The sequence below is a fragment of the Homo sapiens genome, chromosome 7, assembly GCF_000001405.40.
Source record: "Homo sapiens chromosome 7, GRCh38.p14 Primary Assembly".
Lineage (NCBI taxonomy): Eukaryota > Metazoa > Chordata > Mammalia > Primates > Hominidae > Homo > Homo sapiens.
The window spans coordinates 31964417-31979285 of NC_000007.14; the positions used below are offsets into that span (position 1 = coordinate 31964417).

General features: G+C 39.8%; 1 protein-coding gene across 27 annotated transcripts in view; it reads right to left on the reverse strand.

Moving 5' to 3' along the window:
- The window catches only part of PDE1C (phosphodiesterase 1C), an 811448-nt gene that overhangs the window by 347640 nt on the left and 448939 nt on the right, over nt 1-14869 (reverse strand).

The window sequence follows — 14869 nt, forward strand, 5'->3', positions numbered from 1 at the left end:
CTGCCATTGCTGAGGCTTGAGTAGGTAAACAAAGCAGCTGGGAAGCTCAAACTGGGTGGAGACCACCACAGCTCAAGGAGGCCTGCCTGCCTCTGTAGGCTCCACCTTTGAGGGCAGGGCACAGACAAACAAAAGGCAGAAGTAACCTCTGCAGACTTGAATGTCCCTGTCTGTCAGCTTTGAAGAGAGTAGTGGTTCTCCCAGCACGCAGCTGGAGATCTGAGAACGGGCAGACTGCCTCCTCAAGTGGTTCCCTGACCCCCGAGTAGCCTAACTGGGAGGCAACCCCCCAATAGGGGTGGACTGACACCTCAAACGGCCAGGTACTCCTCTGAGACAAAACTTCTAGAGGAACGATCAGGCAGCAGCATTTACAGTTCACCAATATATGCTGTTCCGCAGCCACCGTTGCTGATACCCAGGCAAACAGGGTCTGGAGTGGACCTCCGGCAAACTCCAACAGACCTACAGCTGAGGGTCCTGACTGTTAGAAGGAAAACTAACAAACAGAAAGGACATCCACACCAAAAACCCATCTGTACATCACCATCATCAAAGACCAAAGGTAGATAAAACCACAAAGATGGGGAAAAAAACAGAGCAGAAAAACTGGAAACTCTAAAAATCAGAGTGCCTCTCCTCCTCCAAAGGAACGCAGCTCCTCACCAGCAACGGAACAATGCTGGACGGAGAATGACTTTGACGAGTTGAGAGAAGAAGGCTTCAGAAGATCAAACTACTCCGAGCTAAAGGAGGAAGTTCGAACCAATGGCAAAGAAGTTAAAAACCTTGAAAAAAAATTAGATGAATGGCTAACTAGAATAACCAATGCAGAGAAGTCCTTAAAGGACCTGATGGAGCTGAAAACTATGGCACGAGAACTATGTGACGAACGCACAAGCCTCAGTAGCCGATGCGATCAACTGGAAGAAAGGGTATCAGTGATGGAAGACGAAATGAATGAAATGTAGTGAGAAGAGAAGTTTAGAGAAAAAAGAACAAAAAGAAACAAACAAAGCCTCCAAGAAATATGGGACTATGTGAAAAGACCAAATCTACATCTGATTGGTGTACCTGAAAGTGACTGGGAGAATGGAACCAAGTTAGGAAACACTCTGCAGGATATTATCCAGGAGAACTTCCCCAATCTAGCAAGGCAGGCCAACATCCAAATTCAGGAAATACAGAGAAGGCCACAAAGATACTCCTCGAGAAGAGCAATTCCAAGACACATAATTGTCAGATTCACCAAAGATGAAATGAAAGAAAAAATGTTAAGGGCAGCCAGAGAGAAAGGTCGGGTTACCCACAAAGGGAAGCCCATCAGACTAACAGCTGATCTCTTGGCATAAACTCTACAAGCCAGAAGAGAGTGGGGGCAAATATGCAACATTCTTAAAGAAAATAATTTCCAACCCAGAATTTCATATCCAGCCAAACTAAGCTTCATAAGTGAAGGAGAAATAAAATACTTTACAGACAAGCAAATGCTGAGAGATTTGGTCACCACCAGGCCTGCCCTAAAAGAGCTCCTGAAGGAAGCACTAAACATGGAAAGGAACGACCAGTACCAGCCACTGCAAAAACATGCCAAATTGTAAAGATCATCAAGGCTAGGAAGAAACTGCATCAACTAACGAGCAAAATGACCAGCTAACATCATAATGACAGGATCAAATTCACACGTAAGAATACTAACCTTAAATGTAAATGGGCTAAATATTCCAATTAAAAGGCACAGACTGGCAAACTGGATAAAGAGTCAAGACCCATCAGTGTGCTGTATTCAGGAAACCCATCTCACGTGCAGAGACACACATAGGCTCAAAATAAAGGGATGGAGGAAGATCTACCAAGCAAATGGAAAACAAAAAAAGGCAAGGGTTGCAATCCTAGTCTCAGATAAAACAGACTTTAAACCAACAAAGATCAAAAGAGACAAAGAAGGCCATTACATAATGGTAAAGGGATCAATTCAACAAGAAGAACTAACTATCCTAAATATATATGCACCCAACACAGGAGCACCCAGATTCATAAAGCAAGTCCTTAGTGACCTACAAAGAGACTTAGACTCCCACACAATAATAATGGGAGACTTTAACACCCCACTGTCAACATTAGACAGATCAATGAGACAGAACATTAACAAGGATACCCAGGAATTGAACTCAGCTCTGCACCAAGCAGACCTAATAGACATCTACAGAACTCTCTACCCTAAATCAACAGAGTATACATTCTTTTCAGCATCACAACACACCTATTCCAAAATTGACCACATAGTTGGAAGTAAAGCACTCCTCAGCAAATGTGAAAGAACAGAAATTATAACAGACTGTCTCTCAGACCACAGTGCAATCAAACTAGAACTCAGGATTAAGAAACACACTCAAAACCACTCAACTACATGGAAACTGAACAACCTGCTCCTGAATGACTACTGGGTACATAATGAAATGAAGGCAGAAATAAAGATGTTCTTTGAAACCAATGAGAACAAAGACACAACATACCAGAATCTCTGGGACACATTCAAAGCAGTGTGTAGAGGGAAATTTATAGCACTAAATGCCCACAAGAGAAAGCAGGAACGATCCAAAATTGACACCCTAACATCAAAATTAAAAGAACTAGAGAAGCAAGAGCAAACATATTCAAAAGCTAGCAGAAGGCAAGAATTAACTAAGATCAGAGCAGAACTGAAGGAAATAGAGACACAAAAAACCCTTCAAAAAATCAATGAATCCAGGAGCTGCTTTTTTGAAACGATCAACAAAATTGATAGACCGCTAGCAAGACTAATAAAGAAGAAAAGAGAGAAGAATCAAACAGACGCAATAAAAAGTGATAAAGGGGATATCACCACCAATCCCACAGAAATACAAACTACTATCAGAGAATACCATAAACACCTCTACACAAATAAACTAGAAAATCTAGAAGAAATGGATAAATTCCTTGACACATACACTCTCCCAAGACTAAACCAGGAAGAAGTTGAATCTCTGAATAGATCAATAACAGGAGCTGAAATTGAGGCAATAATTAATAGCTCACCAACCAAAGAAAGTCCACGACCAGATGGATTCACAGCCAAATTCTACCAGAGGTACAAGGAGGAACTGGTACCATTCCTTCTAAAACTATTCCAATCAATAAATAAAGAGGGAATCCTCCCTAACTCTTTTTATGAGGCCAGCATCATCCTGATACCAAAGCCTGGCAGAGACACAACAAACAAGAGAATTTTAGACCAATATCCTTGATGAACATTGATGAAAATTCCTCAATAAAACACTGGCAAACCAAATCCAGCAGCACATCAAAAAGCTTATCCACCATGATCAAGTGGGCTTCATCCCTGGGATGCAAGGCTGGTTCAACATACGCAAATCAATAAACGTAATCCAGCATATAAATAGAACCAAAGACAAAAACCACATTATTATCTCAATAGATGCAGAAAAGGCCTTTGACAAAATTCAACAATGCTTCATGCTAAAAACTCTCCATAAATTAGGTATTGATGGCACGTATCTCAAAATAATAAGAGCTGTCTATGACAAACCCACAGCCAATATCATACTGAATGGACAAAGACTGGAAGCATTCCCTTTGAAAACTGGCACAAGACAGGGATGCCCTCTCTCACCACTCCTATTCAACATAGTGTTGGAAGTTCTGGCCAGGGCAATCAGGCAGGAGAAGGAAATAAAGGGCATTCAATTAGGAAAAGAGGAAGTCAAATTGTCCCTGTTTGCAGATGACATGACTGTATATCTAGAAAACCCCATCGTCTCAGCCCAAAATCTCCTTAAGCTAATAAGCAACTTCAGCTAAGTCTCAGGATACAAAATCAATGTGCAAAAATCACAAGCATTCTTACACACCAATAACAGACAAACAGAGAGCCAAATCATGAGTGAACTCCCATTCACAACTGCTTCAAAGAGAATAAAATACCTAGGAATCCAACTTACAAGGGATGTGAAGGACCTCTTCAAGGAGAACTACAAACCACTGCTCAATGAAATAAAAGAGGATACAAACAAATGGAAGAACATTCCATGCTCATGGGTAGGAAGAATCAGTATCATGAAAATGGCCATACTGCCCAAGGTAATTTATAGATTCAATGCCATCCCCATCAAGCTACCAATGACTTTCTTCACAGAATTGGAAAAAACTACTTTAAAGTTCATATGGAACCAAAAAAGAGCCCGCATCGCCAGGTCAATCCTAAGCCAAAAGAACAAAGCTGGAGGCATCATGCTACCTGACTTCAAACTATACTACAAGGCTACAGTAACCAAAACAGCATGGTACTGGTACTGAAACAGCATGGTATGGTACCAAAACAGAGATATAGACAAATGGAACAGAACAGAGCCCTCAGAAATAATGCTGCTTATCTACAACTATCTGATCTTTGACAAACCTGACAAAAACAAGCAATGGGGAAAGGATTCCCTATTTAATAAATCATTCTGGGAAAACTGGCCAGCCATATGTAGAAAGCTGAAACTGGATCCCTTCCTTACACCTTATACAAAAATTAATTCAAGATGGATTGAAGACTTAAATGATAGACCTAAAACCATAAAAACCTTAGAAGAAAACCTAGGCAATACCATTCAGGATATAGGCATGGGCAAGGATTCCAGGTCTAAAACACCAAAAGCAATGGCAACAAAAGCCAAAGTTGACAAATGGGATCTGATTATACTAAAGAGCTTTGCTGTGCTTCTGCACAGCAAAATAAACTACCATCAGAGTGAACAGGCAACCTACAGAATGGGAGAAAATGTTTGCAACCTACTCATCTGACAAAGGGCTAATATCCAGAATCTACAATGAACTCAAACAAATTTACAAGAAAAAAACAAACAACCCTATCAAAAAATGGGTGAAGGATATGAACAGACACTTCTCAAAAGAAGACATTTATGTGGCCAAAAAACACATGAAAAAATGCTCATCATCACTGGCCATCAGAGAAATGCAAATCAAAACCACAACGAGATACCATCACACACCAGTTAGAATGGTGATCATTAAAAAGTCAGGAAACAACAGGTGCTGGAGAGGATGTGGAGAAATAGGAACATTTTTACACTGTTGGGAGGACTGTAAACTAGTTCAACCATTGTGGAAGTCAGTGTGGCGATTCCTCAGGGATCTGGAACTAGAAATACCATTTGACCCAGCCATCCCATTACTGGTTATATACCCAAAGGATTATAAATCATGCTGCTATAAAGACACATGCACACATATGTTTATTGCAGTGCTGTTCTCAATAGCAAAGACTTGGAACCAACCCAAATGCCCATCAATGATAGACTGGATTAAGAAAATGTGGCACATATACACCATGGAATACTATGCAGCCATAAGAAATGATGAGTTCATGTCCTTTGTAGGGACATCGATGAAGCTGGAAACCATCATTCTCAGCAAACTATCGCAAGGACAAAAAACCAAACACCGCATGTTCTCACTCATAGGTGGGAATTGAACAATGAGAACTCATGGACACAGGAAGGGGAACATCAGATTCTGGGGACTGTTGTGGGGTTGGGGGAGTGGGGAGGGATAGCATTAGGAGATATACCTAATGCTAAATGACAAGTTAATGGGTGCAGCACACCAACATGGCACAGGTATACATATGTAACAAACCTGCACGTTGTGCACATGTACCCTAAAACTCAAAGTATAATAATAATAAAATTTTTTTAAAAAAGAAAAAAGTGTCTAGAGAATGGAAGTGGTGGAAAAATATCCCACCAAAACAAACGAGCTGACATATCATTGAGTCAGTGGACAGTTTGCAGATAAGAAGCCAATATAAACACAGATGCTTTAATATGAAACCAGAAGGATATCTTTATGTCGAGCCCCAATATCTACTAAATTCTAATACTTTAACTTCTCAAATAGTGAAAACAACCAACAATACAGAAAAGTCTCGGGCGGAGGGAGGAAAAGTGACAACACACCTGTGAAATGGCTTCTCAAAGTTTCAATAGCATGTGTTTCTAAGATATGGGAAAGCCAAAAAACGCATGGGCAGCCTTCTTCCTTTAGAAGTATTCAATTGTTCTAGATAGAAATCTCCTTTCTTTGGTTAAGAATTTATTGTAGTTTCACCTTTCCTTAGAAATGAAAACTGTGATTGTTGAGTAAACAACTTGTAAAACTATTTTCACTGACACTTATTAAGTATCTTGGCTCCCTGCATTGAATTTCTATTTAGTCACTTCCCTCAACATGTAGATCAAACTGATGCCTCAATTATAATCCTTGAAGAACATGGGGGAAAGACTGTTTAAAGCATTCCCTCTCTGCTAAGGAGGAAAATATCCCAGTCACATGAGCTGTGTAGCATAATGTTTGTTTTCCATGTTGATCTGCAAAAGAGAGAGATGACAGAAAGAGTGTTGGGTGTGGTGGCTCATGCCTGTAATCCCAGCACTTTGGGAAGCTGAGGTGGGAGGATCACCTGAAGTCAGGAGTTTGAGACCAGCCTGACCAACATGATGAAACCCTGTCTCTACTAAAAATACAAAATTAGCCAGGTGTGGTAGCACATGCCTGTAATCCCAGCTACTCCAGGGGCTGAGGTAGGAGAATCGCTTGAACCTGGGAAGCAGAGGTTGCAGTGAGCCAAGATCGCGCTACTGCACTCCAGCCCTGGGCAACAAGAGCAAAACTCTGTTTCAATACATAAAAAATAAAAATAGAGAAAGATGACAGAAAGCAGAATCAGAGGAAATGTATCACTGTTGAACATTTCCTACATGTATTGCACTGAGCTCAACACTTTGCAGGGTCTCCCTTACAGTGACCTTCTGTGGTAGGTATATTACCCTTATTTTATAACTTGAAAACTGAGGCTTAGGGGTATATACACAGACCTGGGAACTGAAAGCTACAGTTCCAATACCACCAGCTTTGCTGCTTGCTAGCCATGTGATCTTGAGTGAGTTATTTAGTCATGCTGCAGCTCAGTTTCCTCATCAATCAAATGATGGGAGTCTCTGACGATCACGCTAGGGATGATGCATATAAAGCGCTTAGTGCTTGGCTTGTAGCAAGAATCCAACAGATGACAGCCCTCACTATTACGGCCTACACTGATTCTTCAGTCTGCATCTACACCCACTGTGGGTCATCCTGCCACCTGCCCTGCCCTGCTGTATGACCTGAGGCTTCCTCCTAAAGAGGCATTGCCAGAGCTTCCTCATAGGCAGGCTTCTGGGTGAACCCAGTCATTGGGAAGCACTAACAACAAGAGATCAGAGCTCAGGAGGAGAGGAGCTGAGGTATTTCTTCCCCACTCCCTTCTTCCTCCAAGGTATGTTTTCTGACAGTGACTGTCCCTCCGTGTCTCCAGCTTCCAACAGGAGATCCCTCTCTCATAGCTCCTTTACCCACTGGTTTCCTGTAGTGCTAATTCCTCTCCTTGCACCTCCAGGACTAAGGATGGTAATAACCGCCCACTGTAACTAGTCTTGGGTGTCCAACACCCTTTGGTAATTGTGTTACCTGCTCCCATATTTGTAAGCAGTCCTTTCATCAAAATCTCTTGGACCATCTGAATTGGAGTCTGCTTCTTGCCTAACCCTGGCTGATATCCAAACTCAAAAATCATACACTCGTAAATGAAGGACCCAGCAACCTCTATGGTCTATGGCCAATGCTTTACAAATCACTTATTTGCCAATGATAATTTAAACTGTACTGGTAGTATACAACCACGTATTATTAAATAACCATTCTTAAAAGGGAATAGAACATTGTTAAAATATAGTTTGCAATTGCTGAGAAATACATTTGGTGATTTATTCAGATGATATCTAAAATGTTCAATATCTCATTCCAAAGGCCGCACCCCAATTACACAGGTTGCAAACCCTATCCTGCAAGTAGCACCAACTACAGTCCCACTTTCTCTCTGAGAAATGTCAACCTGACTTTATCCTGAGAAAACAGAAGATCAAAACTCTTCATAGAATCTTAGAGAAAGTCTCTAAGCAAGAGCCAAAATGTAAAATTTGAGGTAATTCTTATTGTCATTGTCATGTGCAGAAGTGCAGCTACAATTCTGAGGGCTCGGTTCCAGAATATTTTAGAAAAAGTAATGAGCTTCTCTAGTTTTGGACAAGACGGCATAGACTCTTTTCCCTGCTAAGTATGACCCCAAACCCTGGATATAACACAACAAACAATCATAAGAACATTCTGAAAGGTGAAAGAAGAACACAGACTGGCTGGGGACCTCAAAAGTCAAGGAGCAGCACAGCAACCTAAAATCTCCTAACCACCCATCCGGAGGCAGAAGATGTCCCAGGTAGGTGCTTCTTCCCCTGTAGGAGGCACCAGGAAAGACTAAGCAGAAGCACAGCCAGCACCAGGCAGCCCGAGGAAGCACTCTCTGCCCCCCATGAGCCTGGCATCTTCTGCCTCCAAATTTGGTGATGCCAGGCCAACCCATAGAAGCACTTTTCACCCTCACAGGTAGCACAAGCAGGAACTGAGTGACAACCCCATCAGCACTGGGCAGCCCAAGCCAGAGAAAATAGTTTCTGCTCCTGCAGGCTTGGCATCTCTCATCCTCTACCCAGTGGTACTAGATATAAAGAAGAACCAAATGGAAATTATGAGACTTAAAACTTCAATAACTGAAATAAATAAAAAAATTCACTAGAAGGGCTCAATAGGCAAATATATGTGACAGAGGAAAAAAAATAAGTGAACTTGAAGATAGAACAATAGAAAGAGACACCTGTGGGGCAGAAACAAAAGACTCAACAGTCATATCATTGGAATCTTAGATGGAGAAAAGAAAGAGTAGAGCTGAAAACATATTCATAAAAATAACTAAAAACTTCCCATATTTGCTAAAAAACAAACCTGCAGATTTAAGAAGCTACGAGAATACCAAGTAAGATAAACCCAAAGAAAGCCACACTAAAACACATCATAAGTAAAATTCTGAAAACTGAAGACAAAAATAAGAATGGAATTCATATGGGAAAAAGTCAAAGTTTGATGTTATTTTTCACTGAGAAAACTTTGCATAACAACAGCTCTGACAAGCTGATATACAAATGGATAGAATTATAACACAATATAATGTTTATAATGTGTTAGATACAAGCCCTTTGACAAATATTAATATTAAATTCTTAAAAAATTCCTATGAAGTAGTTATTATTATTCTTATTTTACAGTTGGACAGAGACCCAGAGAGGCTAAATAACAAACTGAGACCCAGAAAGGCTAAATAACTTGCCCAAGGTCACACAGCTAGTAAGTGACAGAACCCAGAATTCAAACTCAGACACTCTGGTTACGGGGTCTACATTCTTGACTATGATGCCTGGAAGTGGTCTAGTATAGTAGTATGGAATCATGTACATATAGTTTAGTAGTATAGAATCAACAACCAAAATTGACAAGGTCCTTATAAACTAGATAAAGAGACAAGGAATAATCCAGGATTTAGTTCCAGATGTTTTTGTTTATTTTTGTTTTATTAAGATTTTCTTTAAAATGTATTAGAGCTGGACAGTATGGCTCCTGTAGGCTTGGATATTAGTAACTCTCATTGTTCAGAATTAAGCTTATACTAAAGTTGTACTTGGTGTGGGCAATGTTTTTTTCTGCCAGAATCATATAGTAAAAGACATCTGTGATTGTTTTTTTAAAGTTGAAGTTAAGCAGTTAGTCTCCTTGGCTTACTACTTTTATTAAATATCAATGCTGATGTCATTTTCTCCACAAACCAACATCCTAAATGATTTTTATCAGGACAGATAAACTCTCAAATACAGAAAGCAGGTCTTTTCATTATCCTATTGATTAAAAGCAAAATACAAAAAAATTAGCTACATGATACAGGCACACAACAAAAATCTTTGTCAAATTTTAACATGGCACAGGTTTCAAAATAAAATTATCCCTTTTAGAACTGGCAGGTCAATATTATCTTTTTGTTCTAATATGGGACCATTTGCAGAAATGTGGTTTCCTGTGAACTAAGAGAAAGCTGAAGTGTTTTGACACACTAAACTGTACTAACAACACCCACTGAAATGATGGCACTGTCTTTGAATGACGTTTACCCTGAGACTGGAGGGAGCCACTGGGACATACTGGTACAAACTGAGTGTTGAACACATATAACCTTAATGGATAAAAGGCAGGGAGGGAGGGAGGGCTAGCCAAGCCTCTGGCCTATGTCCCTTAAGTCTCTTCACCTCACTCCTAGGGTTCTTGAATAAAATGTAAAACTAAGGCCTTAAAAAACCTGTAGTGTGGGAATTGACTGCAAATGGAAATCAGAGAACTCTGGGGGATGATGGAAATTTTCGAAAACTGCTGTGGTGATGGTTGTACAACTCTGTAAATTAATTTTAAAAATACAGAGGTATACAGTTCTCACAGATTAATTTTATAATGTGTACAGTACAGCTCAATAAAACTATTTGGAAAAATATCCTGCAGGTTCTCCCCATTGCCTTCTGAACAAAGGCCGAGTTCATGAAAACATACAAAATCCTTTATGATACAGCCCTTGCTTAACTCACTTCTTGTCTTTTTTTGCCACCTGTGTTCCCCCAGCCCTCTGATCCACCACTCCACCTATATTCTATTTACTGAGCAACCAGCAGTTTTCAGAAAATCTAAAGTGGCTGCATACTACAGTCCTATGCCTCTCACCCTGTTCTCTCTGCCTTCTGCCTAGAAGTCTTCCTCCCCACAGCTTCCTGACCAACACCAAATGGGGGGTTCAAGACACAGCTCAACCTGACTACTATATTCTAGGATGCTTTTCTGACTTTCTGGGTAGAATTGGCCATTTCTTTTTGTGTTCCTCCAGAGTACTTAGTCATTCAATGTCTATAAATACTTTTTCCTTACAGGTGACAAAAGCATCTGCAATTCTATCAAAATGTCCGTGTAGCACCAATCCCTTCCTCTCAGACCTATAAAGATAATAAGCAAGAGTGTATTGAGACTAACAAGAAGGTGACACACCAAGGATGGGAGTAACACTGAGGGAGTCTCTCACATGGACAATTCTAGCAGCTTTATAACCAGTCTCCTTACAGCAGTCAGAGTGAACCCTTTAAAACATATCTAATTTTATATATATATATATGAAAAAGAATGTAAGTTTTAGTCAGAGAAACCGACAGAGAATTTAAAGCCTGCTCCACCACTTACTATATATATGACTATACAAGTCGCCCCAACAGTGAGCACATAATTTCCTCATCTGTAAAGTGGAGGTATAACTACCTTACAGACTTTTGCAAAGAATCTTCAAGATTAGCCACGTAAAGTTGTGCCACTTAGATATGATTTCACTTTCACTTCCTTACTTAGGTTGTTGGTTCGATAATTGATATTACTGAATACCAGACAGGCTAAGAACCACATCACTGATTTACACTCTCCTCCACATTTAACCGAAAAGTGACCAATCAAAAAGTATCACAACTCAGGTTGATGTGCATTCAGTCTATCCCATGGTATCTTTGTCTCTTTTCAAATCACAATACTGATGTTCCAATAAATGATGTTTATTATCAGGCCATGAGCCATCAAGAAAATACTAAACTCTGCTTAGAACACTGTTTAAGAAGGTTGGAAAATATATATCAACTATAGACAGTTTTCTTAGAAGGAAAATCAACATGTTAGCACATAACAAATTAACATACAATCTGGGTAACTGAATAATATATAACGGCATGCTTCCATAATAGATGAAGAATTATGGAATCTCTGTTTGCAATCCAATGTGGGTAAGAAGAAATGTATTCATTCAACAACTATTCAAACATTTGTTGAACAAATGATATATGAAAGGATAAAAGAACCAGTCTAGAAGAGGAAACTTGTGATCTTCAGGTGAAATGCATGTTACAAAGCATAAGAGGACTGTTATTGTGTTCTTAATTTCAGAAAGTTAACAAAAGACTCAGGGTCAGGGATAATTAAATTCATAAGTATGTGAAAGAATGACTAGTTCCAAAACAATCTAAGATGAACATCTCTTAACTGATATATGGTTTCTATTAAATAGGTGACATGAGTTAAGTCATCATTAACTAGTACTTTTTCCTCTTGCTATATCAAAACTATCAACAAACATTGGAAAGCCTACCTCCAAAATGCATGCTGAATCTGTGCAGCCCACTGCCACCACTCTGGTCTACACCACTAGTCTCTCATATGGACAATTCCAGCAGCTTTATACCCAGTCTCCCCACAGCAATCAGAGTGAGCCCTTTAAAACATATATCGAATTATATCATGTGCCAAATCAACATGTTTCAAAGGTTTCCCATTGTACTTAGAATAAAAAGCAAACGCCATGGACCCCATGATGCTTACACCCTGGCCCTTGTCTGCCCCTTTATCCTCATTATCTGCCACTGACCAATTCATATGCTCAAGCCAGTGGTTCTCAAAGGGTGGTCCCAGGACAAGAAGCATCATTACCTAGGACCTTTTTAGAAATGCAGACTTTCAGGACCCATCCCAGACCTACTGAATCAGAGAGTCTGGGTTTAAGGCTCAACAAGCTGTGTTTTAACAAGCCTTTCAATGATTCAGAAACACTAAATTTAAGAATTATTACTCTAGATATCTGCTATAGTTTAAATCTGTCTCACAAACTTCATATGTTGGAACAATCCTCAAATTCATATGTTGATGGCATTTGGAGGTGGGGCCTTTGGGAGGTAATTAGGATTGGGTAAAGTCATTAGGGTGGAGTCCCCATGAAGGGACTAAGAAGAGGAAGAGAGACCTGAGCTGACATGCCCTCTCAGCATTTGATGCCCTCCAACATATGATGATGCAGCAAGAAGGTCCTCGCCAGATGCCAGTGTCATGGCCTTGGACTTCCCAGCCTCCAGAATCGTGAGCTAAATAAACTTCTTTTCTTTATAGATTACCCATTCTGTGTAATTCTGTTATAGCAATAGAAAACAGACTAAGACAATACATTAGGCTTCTTTATATAGCTAGAAAATACCAAGCTCTTTTCCATCTCAGCACCTTTGAATTTACTATAGTTCTGCCTAGAATGTATCCCTCACCTCCACCCCATGTCACCACCTTGATTGCCCCTTCTCCATCAACTGTAAAAATTCTACCTGACCCAAATTACTTTGTATCATGCTACACTAATCACTACTATCATAACACTTAGTACAACCTGATTTTATTTACTTGTGTGTTCATCTTGTTTGTACACTAAAACATGTGCTCCTTTAGAACAAGGATCTTATCTTTATCAACCACCCAGTGAGTTACAAACAGTAGTTGCTCAACAACTATTAAATAAATTAATGAATAAGCCCAGTATAAATCCATTTAACATAAGGTTAGAATAACAAAGTTAGAATAGTGAAAAAAGCCACCACTGACTTATAATAAAAGTATCCAAATTGCCTGCTTACTATGGGCCAGTCCTTGGGCTAAATCTTTTCTTGTGTTTTTCTCTTTAAATTCTCCCTAGAACTCAATGAGGTAGAACTACAATCATCCTCACTTTAAGATGAAGACGCTAAGATATAAATAAGTGAAATAAATTACTTGAGGCTACCAAGCTGATCATTCGCAGAGCCAGGGTTCAAATCCAGGCTGTCCAACTCCAAAGTTCATACACTGCACCCCCACCCACTACTACCTCTTCTGAAAAAGGTATCTGACCAGATATTTTCAACATAGATTTCGGCAGACTACAGGGATAACCTGGTGAGGAAGTAGTCTCTCCAATTCAGATCTCCTACAGATAAAACCTTGGCAAAGGGGTACTCAATTCTGTCAACTGAGTCTCACAAAATTATAATGTTAACTGATGGGTGTTTAGAGGATGTACATTTTAGAAGACTCTTAAATTGAGTACAGATGTTTAGAAAATCAGTGTCAAATTAGAAAGCATTAAGCAGACATTAAGGCAGACCAAATTGGTCTTTTCAGAAAGCTGGGTCAGGATGGGAGAAATGTGTGCTTGCTAAGTAGGCCAGGTTACTCAGAAGTGGGTCTTCTAACTCAGAAATTAGTGAAGGCAGCCCAGCTTTGCCAGAGAATCAGACAGAGTAAGAAGCCTAAACATGGAGCTGAAGGATTGACCTACAGGTTTTCAGGTGGAGTGGAAGGAAGCAGATTCTCTTGCCAAGACCTTCACAGCAACCTGTAGATGCAGCACTGGAACCCAGGACTCTGGCGTGTTTTTTAACCATTAACCTGATGCCAGGGATGTTGGAACTGTCTTGGAACTCCACTTTTCAACAGAAATTTCTGGAAGAGATTAAGGAGATCCTATGCCTTAAAAGAGGACCAGGACATGTTCACATCATCCATCTGCGGGTTTCTGGAGGTGGGGGGAGCCAATGGTCTCAGACTTTTGGAACCACTTTATTTTCATTTCATAGTTTCATCACATTCGGAAAGGTTTGGTATATTTCCTCATCATAAAAATCTCATTCTCAAAATTCCTCTTGAAATATATGTGTTGGTCTCCAAATGATGCCACACTTGTTTATAGGACTAGATGACAAACACTCAGGTAAAGGCATTTTACTGTGTGCAGCAAAATATACAGAACATTCACTTTCACAACTCAAGCATTTATGGCTGATATCATTAATAAAACATAGCCTTAGAATCCCTCTTAATCCATCAATCAGAATCACCACTCAAACATTATGTGCCTCCCATATCATGGGTAATTGTATGGAAATAAAGAAGTATATGAGGCAGTATAGATTGACAATTAAGAGTTTCACCCTGGAGTTACACAGACACAAGTTCTTATCTTGGTGTTGTTACTTAC